General features: G+C 40.2%; 1 protein-coding gene across 4 annotated transcripts in view; it reads right to left on the bottom strand.

The window, feature by feature from the left end:
- TRPC7 (transient receptor potential cation channel subfamily C member 7) overlaps nucleotides 1-21,381 on the bottom strand; it is a 152,801-nt gene extending 131,420 nt beyond the window's left edge. For all 4 annotated transcript variants that reach the window (NM_001167576.2, NM_001167577.2, NM_001376901.1 and 1 more), the window contains exons 1-2: nucleotides 21,089-21,381; nucleotides 12,444-13,221 (exon numbers count right to left, since the gene is read on the bottom strand). In NM_001167576.2, coding sequence (NP_001161048.1) covers nucleotides 12,444-13,221; nucleotides 21,089-21,090 — 780 coding nt within the window. In that variant the 5' untranslated portion in view covers nucleotides 21,091-21,381. The remainder of the gene's footprint in view (nucleotides 1-12,443; nucleotides 13,222-21,088) is intronic.
- Nucleotides 21,382-21,736: the final 355 nt, after the last annotated feature.

The raw sequence follows: 21,736 nt of genomic DNA on the forward strand, positions 1-21,736 counted from the left end.
ACAGGAACAGTAAACCAAATACTGCATGTTTTCACTTACAAGTGGGAACTAAACACTGAGCGCAAATGGACACAAAGAAGGGAACAACAGACGCTTGGGCCTACTCAAGGATGAAGGCTGGAAGAGGGTGAAGAACAAAAAACTACCTATCGGGTAGTTTTTACCGTGGTACTTATTACCTGTATGATGAAATAAACTGTAAACCAAACCCCTGTGACATGCAATATACCTACGTAATAAATATGCACATGTATCCCTGAACCTAAAATAAAAGTTAAAATTTTTTGAAATGTGGGTGAAGAAAAGATCAAAGTAGGCAATTCATAGAAAGGAGAAACCTACATGTCTAGACAGTATAGGAAGTGGTCAGCCTCACTAGCAATTAGAGAAACACAAATTAAAATGACTTTACATTTCTCATACTGGCAAACATTAGACAGCAGCACGTGGCACATCAAATCTCCTGAGAGAGTGTAGACTAGGGTGGGTCTTCTGGGGATTAGTCTGCTGTGTTCACTGAACCTAGCCATGGGTATTCCTTCCTGAGTCTAAAACACAAGAATGCTTGAATAGGATTGTAAGGGGGTATAGGGATGTTCTTTGCAGCCTCCTTTGTGGTAACAACAAGTGAGAGGCAGCCTGGATGTCTATCACTAAGAGAATGAGCCAGTCAAAGACTGTAGGTGCAGGAAATAGAGTAGTAGGTAGCAGACAGAAGCAATAAACTAAACACATGTGCAAGCACACACGCAAAACAACCACCATATTTTTTCATAATTTCCATTAGAATGTAAGCTCCATGAGGGCAGAGACTACAGGGTTTTGATGGTCTTTAAGAAGTCCCACCCTCTAGAATCTTGAGAACATAGTGGATGCAAAAGTCATATTTCTTGAATTTTTGATAGATACATACTTATACATCTAAATACATTAAATATATCAAAAAGGTTGCTTTTTGGAGGGGAAGGATAATGGAAGTAGGGATAAAGTATGAAGGGAAATAAAAATATGTTGATAATGTTCCATCAACTGAGTTATAGTATTAATTCAAATTTTTGTACCTGGAGGTTGGGGAGGATTAGGAGAAACACCAAAATATGAACTATTCTGGCCAGGCACGGTGGCTCACGCCTGTAATCCTAGCACTTTGGGAGGCCGAGGCGGGCAGATCACCTGAGGTCAGGAGTTTGAGACCAGCCTGGCCAACATGGCGAAACCCCGTCTCTACTAAAAATACAAAAATACAAAAATACGGGCGTGGTGGCAGGCGCCTGTAATCCTAGCTACTTGGGAGGCTGAGGTGGGAGAATCATTTGAACCTGGAAGGTGGTGGTTGCAGTGAGCCGAGATCAAGCCACTGCACTCCAGGCTGGGTGACAGAGCGAGACTCCGCCTCAAAAAAAAAAATGAGTCCTTTGTAGATTCTGGATATTAGCCCTTTGTCAGATGAGTAGATTATAAAAATTTTCTCCCATTCTGTAGGCTGCCTGTTCACTCTGATGGTAGTTTCTTTTGCTGTGCTGAAGCTCTTTAGTTTAATTAGATCCCATTTGTCAATTTTGGCTTTTGTTGCCATTGCTTTTGGTGTTTTAGACATGAAGTCCTTGCCCATGCCTATGTCCTGAATGGTATTGCCTAGGTTTTCTTCCAGGGTTTTTATGGTTTTAAGTCTAACATTTAAGTCTTTAATCCATCTTGAATTAATTTTTGTATAAGCTGTAAGGAAGGGATCCAGTTTCAGCTTTCTACATATGGCTAGCCAGTTTTCCCAGCACCATTTGTTAAATAGGGAATCCTTTCCCCATTTCTTGTTTTTGTCAGGTTTGTCAAAGATCAGACAGTTGTAGATGTGTGGTATTATTTCTGAGGGCCCTGTTCTGTTCTGTTCCATTGGTCTATATCTCACACACCGAGGCCTGTTGTGGGGTGGAGGGAGGGACAGCATTAGGAGATATACCTAAAGCAAATGATGAGTTAATGGGTGCAGCACACCAACATGGCACATGTATACATATGTAACAAACCTGCACATTGTGCACATGTACCCTAGAACTTAAAGTGTAATAAAATATATATATAAATAAAAAATTAAAAAAATGAACTATTCTTAGATGGTGGAATTAATGCTAATATTTTTGTTCTTCTGCTCTTCTATATTTTTTAAAATTCTATAATCAGCAGTGTTTTACTTTTATTATCCCCAAACCCAACACTTTAAAAGGTTTTTGTCATACTTGAGAGGGCACTGTCCCCAGTACCAAGTTTCCTCTCTCGGCTGCCCTCCCTCCTTTTATCTGTTCTGCTTTTCCCAACACCATGAGTGCGCACACACACATATGTACACATACGTGGAACACATACACCATGTACACATACAACACACACATGTACACATACACACAACACACACGGACACACACATTTATGAAGTTCCCATATCACTGGCTTGGTTTGTGCTTGGTCAATAACCAAGAAATTAATAACCTCCGGTTTTCTCCGGACTGACCTCTTAGTTAGGATTATCTTTGGCTTCCTAGAATATATGACCCATGGTATGACTCACTGACCTCTGGCCTAGTTTGCCCTACTGGAGGTCTTCCTGGATTCCTGGTCTCAGCCTTCACCAGGTTATCTCAACCTGGTGCTTACCCTAATGTACTGAGTTGAATAGCACCCCGCAGCCCAATGCATGTCCTTCCTGGTACCTCAGAATGTGACCTTATTTGGAAATAGGATATTTGCTGGCGTAACTAGTTAAGATGAAGTCCTATTGAAATAGGGTGGATCCTCAATCCCAAATGACTGGTGTCCTTATCAGAAGAGAATTAACATAGAAACACACAGCAAGAATCCTACTGCATTATAACAGAGGCAGAGACTGGAGTGGTGCGTTGACAAGTCAAGGTTTGGCAGAAACCACCAGAAACTAGGAAGAGACAAGGACAGATCCTCTCCTAGAGCCTCCAAGGAGGGCATGACCCTGCTAATACCTTGACTTTGGACCTCTAGCCCTCAGTACTGTGAGAGAATAAGGTTCTGTGGTTTTAAGTCACCACGTTTGTGCTACTTTGTTATTGCAGCACTCAGAAACTCAAACAACCACCCATACTCAATTGAGTATTTGCCAAATGAGATTTTGGGTGGCCAGAAAAGCCTTGATTGCACCCAGTCTCTTCTTGGCATGGCATTTTGAATGTCCAAAGTCCCATGAAGGCAAGGAAAAGGAAGGAGAAGGGGAGGTCTACTCCATATCTTTATTTATGCTAAAATGAGCTTTAGTTTAACATAAATCAGATAGAAGATTCAGTCATTTTCCTGTACCTTAATGAAAAATTTACTTAGTTCATGCAGCCAACAGAGAGAGAAAGATGTTTTTAGAATCTTGGAAATGCAATGGGAAGATTAAAGTCCACTGGAATCCTTTCCATTCTGGAGTTATCACTTCTGAACCCACTTTCCAATACATCCGCTTTGCAAAGAACAATTTGGCTGAGCCTGGGACACACTCTCTTCTAAGGTCAAGGTCAATTTTCCATCAAAGATCAAGGTGAAAAATTGGAATTGACATCACTCTCCTGTTCTCCTTCTATTTTACTGGGCTCCTGTCTTACAGGAGAAGTTAAAGAGCTGTCTCTGTTCTGCTTCCTGTCCCTATTCCTCTCCACTGCCTGGAGCACCACTGTGAAGCACTGAGAGGTCCCAGAGATAGGAGAAGCAGGGTCCTGGGGAGCTTAAAGACAAAACGGTGGTCCTGGAAGCAGCCAGGAGCCAGTCACCTGCTCCAACTGCGCTGTGGCTTCATCTGCAATGAAGCACCTGCTGGTGGAGATGCACTAGTCCTTCTGCATTCATATGTCACTCACCCCTTCCTGGGAGGGTCTCTTCTTCCTACATAGGCCTTCCAACTCTTTCCATTCTTGTGCTCTCCAGTCCATTTTCTATAGCAGGTAGAGTAGATCTTTCCAAACTGCATATATGAGTCACTCACTCACTTGCTGAAAACATCCGATGCCTCACCATTCACCCTACAATGAAGTCCAACTTCTTACACGGCCACTAATGGCAAAGCCATGGCTAAGGTCTCTTTAGCATCCATGTCACCTGCCACTTCTGTTTACTCCCTCCAGTAGATCCAGACCATGTTACTCACAATTCTCTGAATGGGCTTCTTTTTCTCCTTCCCTTCACTGGGCTATTTCATGTGTCATTTCCACACTCAGAGCCCTCTTTCCTATTCTCTGTTGTCCATTTATCTCTTTTATTCCATTGGGTTTCATTTTAGACATTGCTGTAAGCTGCCCCATTGAGACAACTCTTTTAGAATTGCATTTTTATTTTCTAGCACAATTGTAATGCTGTGTTTATTGGTATGATTACATGGAGGACACCTATCTTCTCCCCTTGACAATAAGGTCCTTGAGGGCAGGAACTTTATCTTGTTCATTTTATGTCAGCATCCAACTCAGAGCCTTGTCCAGACTAGAAGATTTATATGTATTCATTGCATGAATAGGGAATTTTCAGATGGCTCTGTTACTAGGGCCTGCCTACCTCTGATATTCTGTGAGTCTATAGATCTTGTCCCCATCCTGATAAATATTTTCTGTATTTAATCTGAGTGTGAATTTACTGCTAATAAAACATGTGCCTCCCTGCAGATGGTGTGTGCAGCATACTTGATTAATGCTACTCTACTGTGATTAATGTATATAGCATTGTAATTATTTTTTTCAGAGAAAAATCTCTGCATTGCCATTTGATTTAATTTGTGCTACTACTCATTGGCTAACATCCTCAAAGAACTGTTTCCATTTTCTCCATATCTCTGATATTTCAGACTGATAGTTGCACTTGTGTAGGAAATGATTTTTCTCAATTTTTTTATGTGTAGTGATGAATCTTTTCCACGGAGATATTTTTCAAAAAATAATCTCTGTATTTGTCAGGATCTCTGCCTGCCCATTTCCTCCTCCTCCTCTTTTGCTTCTCTATCTTTCCAGCCCATGTCGCCTCTCTCCACAGTAATATGTTAGCAGCACTCTAAGCTTATTCAGTTTTAGTGTTCTGCATTTTTTTCAATTGGAAAATATTCCCTTGGCCTATTTTTAACCATGGAGCTCACACGTACAGCCTAGTTGTTTTCTTGTGCTGGAAAAATCTGCTATGGGAATGGGAAGCTTAACAGAAATCAGCAAGACCCTCTGAATAGAGGAGGTGCTGAATTTTAAGCCGTGTTACTGGGAGGAAAAGTTGTGGTGCTGAAGATCCAGTGGGTGCTGAGAAACAGAGAGATCTTCATGGAGCTCTCTGGTGAAAAATTAATAGTGCTTATTGTGTATATCAGCTTCTCTGTAAGAAGTTATGTATTTTTTATCTCATTTAATCCTCACCAACACCCTGGGAGGTCGTTATTCATTAATTTGATCACTGATTTATTTGTCTATTTACTGAACTAATATTTACTTAATACTATATGTGCCAGGATTTTCTGGAGGTTAAATGGGATGAAGTGTAGAAATTTCCTAGCAACTTGATGAATGGCAATGTCACTTACAGAGTTGGACAGATTAGGGTAAGAGCAAATGTTTGGGTGGAGAAAACAAGTATTCCAGTTTGGTCAAGTTACAACTGAAGTACAGTCATGCATGGCATAATAGCATTTCACTCCAGAATGGACTGCATATATGACAGTGGTCCCATGAGATTATAATGGAGCTGCCCTATACAGGTATATCATTAAAAATTTTATGTGGTATTTTACTGTGCCTTTCCTATTGAGATATGTTATATACACAAATTCTGACCACTATATTACAGTTGTCTACAGTGTTCAGTATAGTAACATGCTGCACAGGTTTATAGCCTAGGAGCAAGAGGCTATCCCATATAGCCCAGGTGTGTAGTGAGCTGTATCATCTAGGTTTGGGCAGGTACACTCTGTGATGTTCACACAGTGATGAAATTGCTTAAGGATGCATTTCTCAGGACATATCTTCATTAAGTAACACATGACTGTATCCTACCCTCCATTTTTCAAATGAGGAAACTACCTTCCAATAGATGCCCAAGATTACATGGTTGGTAGGAGAGAGAGAACCAGGTCAGTCTGGTTCCAGGGCCAACCTCCTCGCTGTCCACTTCTCAGCCTCAAGGAGATGAAGCATGGTGCAATGGGTGCCCTCCAGGGCCTGCCCCTCTGCACTTGTCTCTTTTATCACACTCAAATAACTGTCACCCAGAGCATACAGTCTCCCTGTACCTTGGAGGCAGATACTCATGACATAGACCCTAGAAGAGAAACATCATCTAATTTTAGGCACTATTTGTGACCCAATGAAAAGTTGTTATTAAAGGACACATTAATTGACTCATTTTCCTGTGATGACTCATTAATGAATGGTCTGGGAAAAGCATTCCCCTAGACACTTAGGCAGAAAAATAGAAAAAAACAAAGCTAACATAAGCAGAAGTCACTTTGTCCCTTTTCTGGAGATAAGCCAGTCCCTGGGTCTTGCTCTCAGGTATGGGGTCCTGTGTCCAGACCCTAGTGTGGCCCTGAGGAAAGGCATGCACACTTTGACTACATTTCACCTGTGTATGCTTATTGAGTGGCAGTTCCATCAACTCATCACCTGATATCCATCAGCTTTCTTTCCTCTACTCACACTTCTGCATCATCAGATGCTCAAACACAGGACTAGAGGGACACAGATCCCTGAGGAGATTAGGGATGGTATACAGTCATCCCTCAGTATCTGCAGATGATTGGTTCCATGACCTTCCTCCCTACCAAAATCTGAGGGTGCTCAAGTCCCTGATATAAAATGGCATCATATTTGCATATAACCTATGCATATCCTGTATACTTTAAATCATTTCCAGAGAATTTATAATACCCAATACAATGTAAATGCTATGTGAATAGTTGTTCTACTGTGTTTTATATATTTGTATTATTTTTATTGTATTGTGATTTTTTTTTCCAAATATTTTCCATCCACAGTTGGCTGAATCCATTGATGTGGAACCGTGGATAGATACAGCCAAATGTATAAGCTCATGCTTTGAGGACTTTTCTTCTAGATTCTGTCTTACACACACAGGCACACATCACACACATAAAACTTCCCTTTAAGACCTGCAGCCTTCATAGCTTAAAAAATATTTTCCCAATAGAAAAGGAAACAATTTTCAAGTCATTTCCTGCATGTTAAGCAGGCATTTGTTTATACTACCAGCCAAGCTTTCAAACTTCAAGGAAATGTATAATATTTTTCCCAGGGTGTTGGACTATAACATTTAAAAATTCTAAAATGATTGAAAGTATGTGAGAAACTGGTGCAAACACTGAAAGCTGGGGCAATAGGCTTATTCAGCGGCAGCCCAGGTGGGGGCCTTTCCCCAATTTGTTGTCTCCCTGGCTGCACACAGCCAGAGGTTAGATGTGCTCTGAGCCCTGGCACAACAAGACAAAGTCACTCCTTCTCCTCACTCTTCCCCTTTCTATTCTGATAAGTTTGCAAGCAGATTACAAATTATCACCTAAACATCTTTACCTTCCACAATGGGATCTCTCTAGATATCATAGCAGGTGGCAAATTGGTCTGATTTATCATTATTTGCATTTTTAATTTGTAGTATTTTAGGCCCAGAGAATTTTCATGAGTCTTAAAATGATAGCACAAACATTAATACATAATTCATCAGCTATTTTTCATAATACATGTGGTTAGCAACCCATTGATAAACAGAAAAATCATTACCACTTTAAGTAGGATAAAGTTAGTTCTTGCCCCCTATTCTTCCCCTCTGAAGTCTCAAAGGATAAATTGCCTGTGACTGAAACACCATCGACAGCCTCCGTGCTATTTTGTCAACAGGAAGAGCCTTCTTAGTTGTAGCTTTGTTATTCTTTAGAACCACCAGATGTTAAATAACTGCAATACGGTGTTTGTGGGGCTTCCACAGTCTCTGATTTGGGCACACTGGATGCTTTCAAATGTAAGCAAAAGATGAGAAAGCAAGAGAGATACCCCTACCCCATACTGCTTTCTCTTTCCTTCCAAAGTCCTAAACCTCACTCTACAATATTCCCTTGTCATCCTTTCTTTCCATGTCCCCGCCCTGCCCCACCAGGCATTGCTGTTTCCATAACTCAGTTGGAAGAAATATTAATTCCTCTAATTGTTTTGAAATAACAGCTCCACAGAAAAATAAAATGCATAGACAAAATGCCCAGGAATTTGACTGGGAAGCAAATAAAGGAGACTAGCAAAATAAAATGGACCCTAACCAATTTTATCATAAAGATGATCAGTGAAGAAAACCAAGCAGATTAATTCAGGAGAGCTTCAGACATCACATTGTGTTCTTGGTGGCTGTTACCCAACTGAGGTAGACAAATTTTTTATTTTTCCTGGCTACTCTAGGTGCCTCTACACAGAGAGCGCATATTCCACAAGGATGAAGCACTTCTGAGAAGTCCAGCTCACACCAATCTTCCCTTTCTCTGGCTCCTACTGCATAGATAAACCAATCAACCAAAATGTCATTTGTTGGCAGTGCTCCCAAAACCCATTTTAGGTACTGTGGGGAAGATCAAGAAGACACACTTTGCCCTCCATACACATACAGTGAAGCAAATGATTGGGAACAGCTATTTAATGTGTATGGACTTTGTGCCCCCAACCAGCCTGTAAGTTTCTTTAGAGCTTCCTCGTTTCACTATATCCATCAAACGCCGCTATTAAATCCACCCACGTAGGAAGAGTTTAAACCATAAAGAAAAGGAGTCACTTGCTTCATCAGTTGAAATGATTATTGTTTTAGGATTTACTTTATTCCCTTCATCAAGTATTTCCGGAATGCTCACTAGTTTATTGGGTACCACACAAGGCACTGGGGAGGCCCCAGTGACCACATCAAGTTTTAATATCTTTCTAGATCCAAGATTAGAGAGACATAAGAAAATCCTTGAACAGCTACATGATTTCCACACCAAAAATAATGGCTTGCTAGCGGGCATCTAACTCCAGCCACAATTTGCTGAAGACCTTGACATTGGCTGCAATTTTTGTTAATGACTAGTGTCTATTCTGGTGATAAATTAAAGTGACTCCAAAAACAATAGTCTGGGAAAACTAAATCCAGGCTTTTCATGGATGATGCTTCCTAGTCAGGAAGAGTTTTTCCCTGAATGAGTATTTTAGGGGATGTGGAGGATGACATATGACATTTCCAATGAGAATCTGATAGTTTTTTACACAACTGATGGCATCAGGTCATCTCCATAATATGTGACTACAAGCAGCAACGTGTGGTCCCTTGAAAGCAGAACAGATTCAGAAAGAGTGCATTTTAGAAGACACTCTCTTGCTCTTTATTTTCTTTTTTATTACAATTTGACTTCTTTCCTGCTAAGCTGCTCTCCTCTGAGAAGATTTATAATGTCAGGAATGCACATATAAGGCTAACTGAATAACTAATAAAGTTCTAAAGGAACAGTTATGTTAATTTATACTGTGCCATTTGTCGACAATCCAAAAGACATTACTTGAAATAAAGGTAACTAGGTGGATGTTAACAGCAAGCAAATGTATTGATGCAAACTCTTATTCCAAGTAAGTCACTGAATTGTAGAAAGGATTTTTCATCACGTTACTGGTGTTCTTAATTGTCCACAATTTTCATATTTACTTTTAAAATCAAAATATCATAGTAGATGCTTTCAAACGAACTTCCAGTTTTAGATATTGCAAATACTGAAATATGCCAGATTTGAGTTTTACTAAAAAAAATGTCTCAGATGTAATTCCAAATGTTAGTTTAGTATCATTTTATTTAGTAAGGCTGTCATGCTCCCACATATGGTAGAGAACTGTGCAATTTTCCAGATAATCTGATCCAAAAAAATATTTTTTTGCTTGAATTTTTAAAAAACTTTTTGGCTTGAAATATCTGAATTAATTGGTTTAGCTGTTCCTTTCGCACGGCCAATGCAGAATAGGTCAGAAGACTGAGCAACAAGCAAAGTTCAACCAATTCTCCTCAGCACATCCTTGACCTTAATGTTGGTAGGTAAGGTTTACTGTACAGAAAAAAACAAAAAAGAGGCTATATTCCTTAAGACTTTCTTTCAGTAATCTCTACCTCTACATCCACTAAGTTTTTCAGATGAGACCATACAATGTAGGATTTAGAGAAGTGGCTTCAATTTAGTGGTTGGGTCTCAGATGGGGGACAGATGACATAAAGTAAACTTTTTAAATAATTATTATCTAGTCCCAATTTGTGGGCCCCTGCAACCTCCTGTTGGCCTGGCCTTTCTGTCCCTGGCTTATGGCATGAACATCTTCCTACAGAGGCTTCCATGGCCTCACCTACATACAACAAAATTTTCTCTCTCTTCAGTCCCAGTGCCTCACACTCCAAATTCTCCAATTAATCTTATTTACCAGACAAGTTAATTTCCCAAACTCTAGTTTTCATCACTTTAGTTCCCTAATTACTTTCCATGGCTTTCCCTTTCCTACAAGACAACCTTAAAAGTGCTCAGCCTGACCTGCTGGGTCCTTTGAGATCCTTCCCCAACTGATCTCTTCAGCTTTCCTCCTGAATGGCCTACAGGAAGCCTGTATTTGAGTCACATGGAACTACTCATCCTCCCTGCTCTGGCGCATTCTGAGACTCATCTTCACTTACCTCCTCCAAATGCCTACTCTCTCTTCGTAATGACCCAACCACTCCTACTCATTAAGGCCCAACCCAATTACATCTCCTTTGAGCCCTCCCTGAAAAACGTGTCCCAGGAGAGCCTTCCTTGGTATGAGCTGGTACCCATTCTTGGCTGTATAATTGTATGCCATACAGGGGCAGCTCCCCCAATGACATCTAGTTTGGACCATGAAGTTTTCACTTGCGGTAACAGCTCTGTGTGCAATACCTCTTTGTATGTCATGTAGCACATGATAGTCTCTGGTTGAATGGCAGCATGAGAAATAATGAGCCCAGTTGTGGTTCCTACTCTTCCAGCTATACCTTCTGCAGTGGGCAATCCTTTATCATTCAGGTAAAAACAAGTGAAACCTCACAAGCTCAATATACAAGCAAGGCTCTGGCCCTCAGTTTCCTGAAGTGGCCAAGAGTTGACTCTGGGGTCTGAGTGCTTAGATTAGAAAAATGGTTTCGCTATTTACTAGCTATGTGATCCTCTCTCTACTTCTGTGCCGTCATATAAAATGAGGCTGATAACAGTACTCATGTCATATGGTTGCTGAGAAGATTAAATAAGATCATATAGATAAGGTGGTTAGTGCTAGGCACACAATAAGTGCCCATTAAATATTTGCTCTTGGCCAGGTGTGGTGGCTCACGCCTATAATCTCAGCACTTTGGGAGGCCGAGGTGGGCAGATCACGAGGTCAGGAGATCAAGACCATCCTGGCTAACATGGTGAAACCCCGTCTCTACTAAAAATACAAAAAATTAGCTGGACATGGTGGTGGGCACCTGTAGTCCCAGCTACTTGGGAGGCTGAGGCAGGAGAATGGCATGAACCCAGGAGGCAGAGCTTGCAGTGAGCCAAGATCGTGCCACTGCACTCTAGCCTGGGTGACAGTGCAAGACTCTGCCTCAAAAAGGAAAAAAAAATTGCTCTTATTATTATTAAACACTGTGTGAAAAGAATTTCATACTTTAGGGCCCAGTTGTCTCTTTCAGGTGGAATGTCTGTTGACAATAAAAGCACAGGCCTGCTATTGAAAAATGCACTTTGGAGATGCATCCTCTAGGCTGACCTGGCAGGTCAAGGTGTTCTCAGAGTGATTTAATTAGAGCTTTCGCCTGAGCTCGTCTACTAGGTTGACACACTCTACAGAGACAGTTTCATTCTTATTTTCTTAAACCTCCTCCTCAGCCCATTGACAAGAAAATGGCAAGAACTTCCCAGGTTTAAGAAAAGCTGCAGCCAGGTCTTCCTATTAGACTGAGACTGATCAAGACATTCCAGGATGAGAGAGATGTGAACAAGACAAATCAAAGCCACATAGGTGAAATAATCAAGAAGTCTAAGCCCTGCACTAGGAAATAACCACAGGTCCTTAGGTGTCCTAGACACTCCTGAGCTCCCTGAGGCGGAGCTAAGGCATTGACATCAGAACCACAACATAATCCTGCCTGCACTCGCCTGTCTTTTACTGCATGCATTTGTACTCAAGTCACTTCTTACCGCATTCATGTAGTTTAAAGCATTTCACCCAGAGGGCTGCTTTTCCTCAGGCCTATCTCTGATAAGTGAGATGTGTTCCCCTCCTCCCCTGGGCCTGCTCAGTAAGATCCTGAAGCTTCCCTCTTTCTTAGATTTGAAGACAACCCATTTCACACTGGACACACGTGGAAGAGCCCCCTGGGCAACCTGCCTGCAGGGTGCTAAGTGGAAGAGTTACCTTAAATTCAGTCTCAATGTTGGCTAGTCTGGCTAACTCGTTGCTGAGCTCCAGGGCGGTGAGGACAGGGTCTTCGCTGGACAGGGACAAGTAGGCAGCACTCGCCAGTCCTTTGTAGGCGTTCATGCGCGAGCGCGAGTGGCTGAAGGAGTCTTTCCGCTGTTTCTCGGTGCACTCATTGCACTTGCAGAAGTAGTCGTGGGGCCGCTCGATGCGGGCGCCCTTGAGCAGCAGGATGTGCACGATCTCATACTCCTGGCAGTGCGCCGCCAGGATGATGGGCGTGATGTCGTGGGAGAAGCGCGTGCCGTCCTCGTCGTAGGCATAGAAGTCGTCGTCGCGCAGCTCCTGTTCCAGCGGGCTGAGCGTCAGGCGCTGGCCCTGCGCGAAGGCCGGGTGGTTGAGGATGGCCTCCACGATGCGCACATAGCCCTTGCTGATGGCCAGCAGCAGCGCGTCCCCCACCCGTGCCAGGTTCTCCTTCTTCAGCAGCAGCTCCGTGACCTCTAGGTGCTCGTTGCCCACGGCCAGCTGCAGAGCGTTCTGCCCCATGTAGTCCACACAGTTGAAGTTAAGGGTCTTGGACTCCTCCAGCATTTTCCGGACCACCGGGATGTTGCCATACTCAGCCGAGTCCAGGAAGCGCTCCTCCTCGGGCGTCAGACTGGTGCCCTTCTCGTTGAACATGTAGGCGGGACCCCGGATGGCCTGGCGACGGCCCTTCTCCCTCAGCGTTGTGTGCCGGCGCTGCATGTTTTTGAAGGTGCTGTTCCTCAACCTATGGGACAAGGCAAAGATGCCCTGTTACTTTCCTGCGGATTCCCTAGCAGTAGAGCACACAAAAATGGTTGAGATACACAAAGAATATCATGCTTGGAATCTTATGAGGAATTGTGCAATCTTACAAATCATTGTCTTAATCATCAAGATTCAGACACACTGGGTTACCTGTACTATTTCTTTCAAGTGGTAGAATATGACTCAGTTGTCTGCCTCTATACTCCTTGGGTGGAGACGGGGTGGCAGAGCTGAAAAATGGATTTAGAAGGACCCTAATAAGAGATGGAGGCTGGGGCGTAGGGTGGTGGTATGGCTGAAGCAGGCAGGAGGCTATTGGTTTTATTTCCGTTTATATAAAGTCGAGAGAGCCACTAAACCCCTCTATGCTTTAGTTTTCCCACCTGTACAATGTGGATAACTTACATGTGCTGCAGAGTCTGTAGGAGGATTAAATGAAGTAATTTGTAAGTAGAAAGTATAAGTCAATGTAGGTTTTATTCTGTTCCCTCTTGCCTCTTTTTATGCCCAGCTCTCCAAGGGCTGTGCCATAGAGTTGGCCATCACAAATATGGCTGCCTTCGGTTCAGATGTCTCCCCCTGAATGAGCTCCTACACCATGGCAAAACTGCAGCAATATGCATGCATGCATATCACACGTGTCCGTTTCTACATTCTGTGCTGTTCTTTATGGGGACAGTGCTTTCTGGTCCACACACAACCTAGGCACCTATTAAAGGGCAAGATGTGGCAGGGAGCAGGACTAGAATCCTGTCACTTTCTGATGGCCACTGAAGCAACCCTTCTGAGAGAATTCAGCCTTAGCTTCTTAAGATTGAGCCTGGATTTCTATATGGATGGAAGAAATAGCTCAACTTATATGCTGGGTCCCCTTCTTACTTATTGCTGTTTCCCAGTGTGGCCTAGTGTAGAGCTTAATACTAATGCTACTAATAATAGCAGTTAACATTTATTAAGCACCTAATATATGCCAGGTATTATACTAAGAGCTTCACATATATTAACTTGTGTAATTCTTGCATCAAATCTGTGAGGAAGGTGCTATTATTCTCCTCATCCTCAGATGAAGATACTAAGAGTAGGGGGGCTGAAAGACAGACTTTGAAGTTAGAAGGTTTAGAGTAGGAATCCGGGCTCCATCATTTGCCAGTCTTGGACAATGTAAGTTACCCAAACTTACATTACCAAAGTGTTGAAACAGCAAACTAGAGACAATAACAGCTACTGTGTAATTTGAGCTCAAGTCAGGGATATGCCATCTCCAGCTAGCCTTGAGACCTTGAGCAGGTCCCAGCTTCTAGATCTCAGATAACTATGAAATAGAGGGGCTGGACCAGGTGTTTCCTAAGCCTCTACCAACTTGCACATCTTAAACTTTTTTGATTCTCCAATTGGTTCTACCTGTATTTTCTATTTTTCTTTTCTACTCTACCTCCACTCACATTATTCAGAGAATATTAGAATGGCATAAATTTTATCAAGAGTGTATCCGTTTTAAAGAGTAAGTACTTGGATATTTGTTTTTAACTATTTTCTATGGTCCCAGAGAATTGTCTTTTTTTAATTTGTTATGTCTTCATGCATAAACAATACTCAGTATTTCACTTTAGCCATTTTTAAAAATAGTCAAACAAAAATGATCACAGAGAAAGGCTTTAAAATTAAATCCAATTTTTTGAGATTTTTAAAAAGTTATGCAATTAGCCTTGTGAATGTTTAAATTGGGGACTCCATTTAGTTTTCTGCTCATTGTACCTTTCGACCTGCTCAAACCTTTTTGGTTTTAGCTCCTTGGGGGCCGTATGTCTGGTATAAAGCAAATAATGCAGATCAGATCTTGGTACTCTAATCCTGCCTGGAGCTGAGTCACACTTCCCTTGGGAAAAAGCTCCTAAATTATATATGGAGCAACTTCTTTATCTGCACAAAATAAAAAGAATAATTATGGGCAACTCCCTCAAAAGGCAACTGTGGGTGATAAATCCTAATAGAGAGCTCTGTACACCTTTAGGAAGAGCGTCTGAACCACCATCCACTTTTTTAAAGTGCACTTTGATAAAAGATTGCTGGGGAAAAGACTGTCAGAATTCAAATTCATGAGATCCTTCTGAGCCCATTCCTTTCAACAATGCCATCATTCCAGAGACAGTCTGCTCAATGGTACCAAAGGCAGACTGTGGATTAGGAGTCCCAGAAAAACCTTTACAGGAGAGAAAGATTCACAAATAGTGTGCAGGCACTTATTATTATAGGGTTTTCAGAAAGAGAAAGTTACTGAGTCGAAAGCTAAGCAGTTACCCTATTTGTATTCCCAAGAGGCTTTGTTTCAGGAGATGTAATGAACTCAGTTTCAAGGCCTGTCATCTGGGCACACACACACACACACACACAGGTAGAAGATGAGCCCAAAGAAGACTAATAATAATCTTTTTCATGGAAGTACTCAGCCTGTCCTACAATAGGCTTCTACTTCTCTCAGAAACACTTTTTTTTATTCTTAGCCATCACAACTCAACCTGAGAAAAAGCAGTTTACACTCAAGAGCATCTGAGCAGTGTGTCAGATACGAAACAGCAGCTGTCCGAGAAGAAGCTGCAATACAGCTTGATTCCACGGCACTTTTCCATTAGAGGTCTGCTCAAGAGGGAGAATAGGTCAGACTACAAGGTCAAGGGTACCCAACTATTACACAGCAACAAGCCATGGAGAGATTAACTCAAAGGAAATTTAATGACTACTGAACCAAGTCATAGCAGAGAAATATTTCACAAGGAACACGTAAGTACTCAATCTAAATTCAGAGTCCCTGTGAATATCATAGACACTGCAGCCTACAAACTTAAAGGATATTCAAGCATTGTTTGTTAATTCCACTCATTACAAAACAAAACAAAACAAAACAAAACATAAAAAGCAAAGTATTAGCATTCTCATCTTTTAGGTGAAGAAACTCTGGTAGGTCAAGTGAAAAGACTAAATCTTAAGTCCTAAGACTTTGGACAAATAATTTCTGCACAAGGGTAGGGCATCATATAAATCTTGATGTTTCTACAATAATTATGTTTTATCAAAAAAAATATGTGTATAGCTAGTACTTGGCAGACGTTAAAATGTCCTCACCATTTGACAAGCATTTTTCTGAATGACCTTGAAAGCAGACACCCAGATGTAGTAAGAAATAAACAAGACTCTTTCGCAGCCTTTAAAACCTCAGCCTTGAAAAACATTTGGATGCTCACAAAATCATCAATTCTGTTCCTTTCCTAGCAGAATTTAGCATTAAAAATGAAATCTTATGAGCCTTAGAGTCATGTATGCATATAAGCAGATAATGGCATGTGCTACTCAGTGAAATTGCTTCCAATGCGAGGGGCTTCACAATAGACTATGAAGCCATGAGAATTGATGCAGATATTGATGGAGGCCTTTTAACCTCACTGTGGCCTTTTTATTAGCTCTGACTCCCTCTTACCCTAATATCCCTCTAATGATACTTTTTAGACATTTATGCACTTGTGAATATATTCAGCCACCATATCCTTGCTATTTAATTTTGATATCACAGATATTCATGTTTTAGCTATACATATCACACGGGTTGGAAAGAATCCACAAAAGATGCTGTGTCAGAAAGATAAAGTCACATGTCTCTCAATAGTTGGTGGCCAAAGCTTACACTCATGAATCAGATGTGCTGCCCTGATGAACTCTGGAGATCTTATCACAGTTTTAGGGCCAATGATAAGCAAAATGAATCTCCCTAAAATGCAATTGGCATTTGATTGCCCTTATTTTAGTATTTTTCTTAAAAATGAACTTTGAATGCAAATACATTTTTATTTGCACATATTATTGAGATAATGTGTGATTAAATACCCCAATTAAGACACTTTGTTTTACATTTTCCAGAAATGCATACAATTAACATTTGATGTCATTTGGAAGAAGGATTCCAGCGGAAACAAAACCATATATGAGAGGAGGACTGATTATTAAACTCCCTCTTGATCCTTCAGTTGTTATTTTTATCAAGCTGCTCTTACAGATGCATCAGCCAGTCTGAAGGAAGCCAGATGTCATTGACCCATGAAAAGTATAAATCTTGTGCCCTAAGTCCAGCTGCAGATGAGCATGGCCATAAAGCCTTTTGGAGACAGAAATTGTGGTTAATTACTGAAGAAGAAAAGGCCACTTAATCAAAATGTTTTTTTAGAGATATTTGTTGTCTCTTTTCTAAAATGCTACATGCATCAAAATTCTCTATGGAAATTATCCAAGCTTAAAATCAATTCAGCCTGTAATATTCCCCAACTGGATATAGAACCAAACAGAATCTAGGAGTCAGATCAAACACCCAGGAAAACTCAGCTTTGATCTGTGCATCTTCTCCCAAGAGTACATATTCTGAGTATTAGTCTAGAGCAACAGTGATGAAATAGTCATTTGGAGTCTTCTCCTAAACCACAGTTCTCTTGCCAAAATAAAGGGAGTAATAAAGCCCATTCCTCATGTTCCTCAGGAGCACAGTGAGGATTAAATAATGTCTACCAAATGCCCTGGATACCATAACACTTTATACAAATGTTCATGACAATAATGATCAAAATCTTACCTATCAATGCACTTAGGTACACAATTATTAGAATTGTCTCACATTTTACTGTACATTGATATACTCAGCTTAGCTATTTTTCTAAATGACTATACAATAGTTATATTTAACATATATTACACATTTACCATGTAGACACTGTCCTAAGTGCTTTACATAAATTACTGTTTTAAATAAATTATCTTCTGATAAGGTTAGCTATTTTCCTGAATGACTATTTAATCATAGTGACTAACATTTGTTTCACATTAACCATGTGCCAGCCACCATGCTGAGTAATTTATGTACATTGTCATTTATATTTATTTATTCATTTATTTTTCAAATAAGATATAAAGAGAAATTTAACATTATAGATACTCAACACAATAAAGCCAGCCTGTAAAGACAAATGGCAATGTAATGATGAATGAATTGTAAATATAAACATATAAAAAAGGAGGTAAGTACATAAATCATTAAGCAAAAATGATTAGAAATGTATAGCGAACATGACACATTTGAGAACATGCATTATCATTTTAAGTTCTCACAAACTATTACATGGTTTAGGTGCTATTGTCATTCCCATTTAACAGATGATGAAGTGATGGTCAAATTAATTAACCACTTTTCCGAAGCTACACAATGTGTCAGTGGTGGACTCACTATTAAGGATCTAGTCTGTCTGCTTTGAAAGTTTGTGCTTTTGGCTAGTATGCCACTGCCAGCCATCTTCTTTTTGTCTTTCTGTTTTTTTGTTTTGTTTTGTTTTTTGTTTTTCTGAGTTTCTTTAGGCTATAACTTTTTCCATTAGAGTTCAAGATCCTTGAGGGTAGGGAATACTCGTGTATATGGCATATGCACCTGGTGCCCTGTACTCCTGATGCCTTGCATATGGTGCTTGGTCAATCAACTTAATTCATTCCTAAATATTTGAATCTGGGTTGATCATTTAAGAAGATCAGTACACTGGAGCTGTTGGTGTTTACCAGCATCTTCCTTCTCACAAAATGCAGGAGCCATATAATTCTATGACTGTTATTTCCTACTTATGACTGGCAACATTTAAAATAAGGTATGAATTCCTAAGTAAAATCAGTTTCTAATTAGCTCCACTATAAATTATGGCCCATAAGTTGCTAGATGAAGCAGCTAATATCAGAGGGCATATGATGTCCCTTGGTGACTGAGCAGAAAATTGAGACATTCTCACTTCTTCACACTACTCCTGAAAATTTTTACATATTTCCCAAGGCATCCAACTTATTTCTAAGTATCACCTTCCTTTTTCTGTTGAAATTGAGGTGAGATAGTGAACGTAAACTATTTATCATTGCCTTGTAAGTGCTCTAGTGAAATTGGATATTATTAGCTCTATTTAACTTATTACAAATATATTAATTGTGGGTTTAAGGCATTTAAGTTCCCATCTAAGCTACTGATAATAATTTGCTTGTACAACATATATACTTTAAATAAAAGAAAAAAAAGATATATACCTAACTACCCCAAGGTATACACGAGTTCATACATTTCACCAGTTAAATCCTACAGGAAACAAGCAAAGTATCCTTCTTTTACTCATTAAAATGTTTTATATTAAGATATACTTTCCAAATAATTCTACTAATGTGGGATGGTTTTTCCATTGCATCTTGGAATAAAAATATTATCTAGTGTTCCTGAATGTTAATAAGTGTTTCTATTAGTAATTTATTTTCTACCAAGTAACATCATTTAGAGAAGAAGTTATCCTCAGTTTTTTCAAACTGTCCTAGGTACCACCTATCCAAATATAACTAGTGCTTTGTATGTGCTTCTATTTTTCTTTTTACTTTTAAAATCCTTATTTTCCTATTTGGAAGTTGGAAGTTATGAAACTGGATGTCTATATCTCATTGTGTATAGCTCCAGGTGGAGCTGAAACAAGTTTTGATAGCTTTATTTTTAAAAAAGATTTTTCTTGAAATAAAATAGATATGTGTAACCTTTTGATGATTTCACTGACCTCTATGATAAGAGTCTGAAATAAACATCTACTACTGAGAAAGAAAGAGAGGCCCTTATATTATGAAATGACAATACTGAAAAAAAGTAACATGCTTAATATTTATATGGAGGGAAATGTTGATTGCCTTTACTAAGCAAGAGCTCCTGGTAGCTCTCATCCAAGATACCGCATGCATTCTGCAATTAGCCTCAATGAGGCTCCACATAGTTCTGATTTTTTTCTGGGTTAATTACTGCCTAAAGGAGTTATCTAGTCTACATGCACCTAAGTTTAGGAGCAAGTGTTTTTGGAAATAAATATTTATGAAAGGGTAATTGTGACATAGAAGTTTGGTAAGCTTTTAAATAATTGAATCAATGTCATTGTTAAAAAGATCTTGGAGATTGGGTTTGCATCACATCCATAATGAATATTCTGGATTTAATGTGAATTCATTCATAAATTTGATGTGTACTCGGTGCTTCAGAAATAAGACCCACCAGCAGGTGGCATTCTGAGGCAAAAATTCACTGAGTGCCACCAGACAGGGTCAATCATTATTGCCTTTTCTGAGTCTACCCTGAATCCATTACGCCTCTAAATTATAATTAATAGCAATAGCATTTTGGTTGTGTCTACTCAATCATAGGTAAATGAATTTACAACTTCAAACTTAAAGGGGAGATTATGAGAGTTTCAAAGCTCTGCCTAGATTACACCTCTTTCATTAGGAGCATATTTGTTATTTTGAAATGGATGTCTAAAGGAGATACATAGCTCAGACCATATTTTCAACAAGAAGAAAAGAAAAATGACAATCTCTTTCTTGCCACCTGTAGTTCTTTAACAGTGGCTACTTATTAGAATATAACCCTCTCCCTTCTCTCACCCCTATATTTATATTATGATAAATACAACCACATAAATACATTAGAAAGCTGTCAGTAGTGAAGGGAAAGAAGAGACAACACCTATACACTCATCTAGGAATAAAACTATATTACTCTAGCACAAAAGGAATAGGCTACCGACATGAGTTGTCCGTTTCTAAATGGCTTTGAAAACTTAGACATTCTATAAAAGAAAAAAAAAATTTCTTCTACCAACTCAACAAATAAGAAAGATCTCAGATCCATCTAAAAATCTAAGCAGTGCACTAGAGGAAGAAGGCTGATAAATGAAAGTTCAATTACATATTTTAGCGAGAACACAACCTCTACTGGAAAAAAAAATCAATATGAAAGAACCATCATAGCTGCTTACATTGAGGGTGTAATACGCAGGCTTGTTCCTCCTCTAGATGACCGGAATCCGGTGTTGAGTCGCCAGAAGCTGGCTCCCCATGGGTGGTAGCCAAGGATGTACCGCTCTCCGTGGTGCTGAAGTATAGAGCTGGTCAAGTGAGTTAAGTTGCAACGATGTGAAAGCGCGCTCCTCTGTTCTTTGTGTTGCAGTGGTAAAAACTCGCCTTCCGAGGCAGAACCGTGTTACCGTCCTTTTCCTAATCGGGGGGAAATTTCCCAGAGAACATGACGGAGAAGCATCTGTGTGAGAGTGGCATGCGGCGTGGTGATGGGTTGGTATAGTCCCCACCCCCTCTCCCCGACGTAGCTTGAAAGGGAGGTAGCAACTCTTTCTTCCTGCCATAGCTCCTCAGGATTTCTACCTGCCCTTTCCTCTGCCCCAGAATAGTACATCACACACACACACACACACACACACACACACACACACACACACACCTCGTTATATAAGGCAGCATGTTCTGACTTCTGAGGCAGAATATTCATTGGTTTAAACAAATGAGGAATGAGGAATGAGGAATGAGCTGGTTTCCTACCTGTTGTGTCTGTGTGTTTACAGAGGGAGGGGGTTAAGAAGAAAACTAAAACCAGAGAAGCCTAAAGAGCG

The sequence above is a fragment of the Homo sapiens genome, chromosome 5 (assembly GCF_000001405.40).
Source record: "Homo sapiens chromosome 5, GRCh38.p14 Primary Assembly".
NCBI classification, from domain to species: Eukaryota; Metazoa; Chordata; class Mammalia; order Primates; family Hominidae; genus Homo; species Homo sapiens.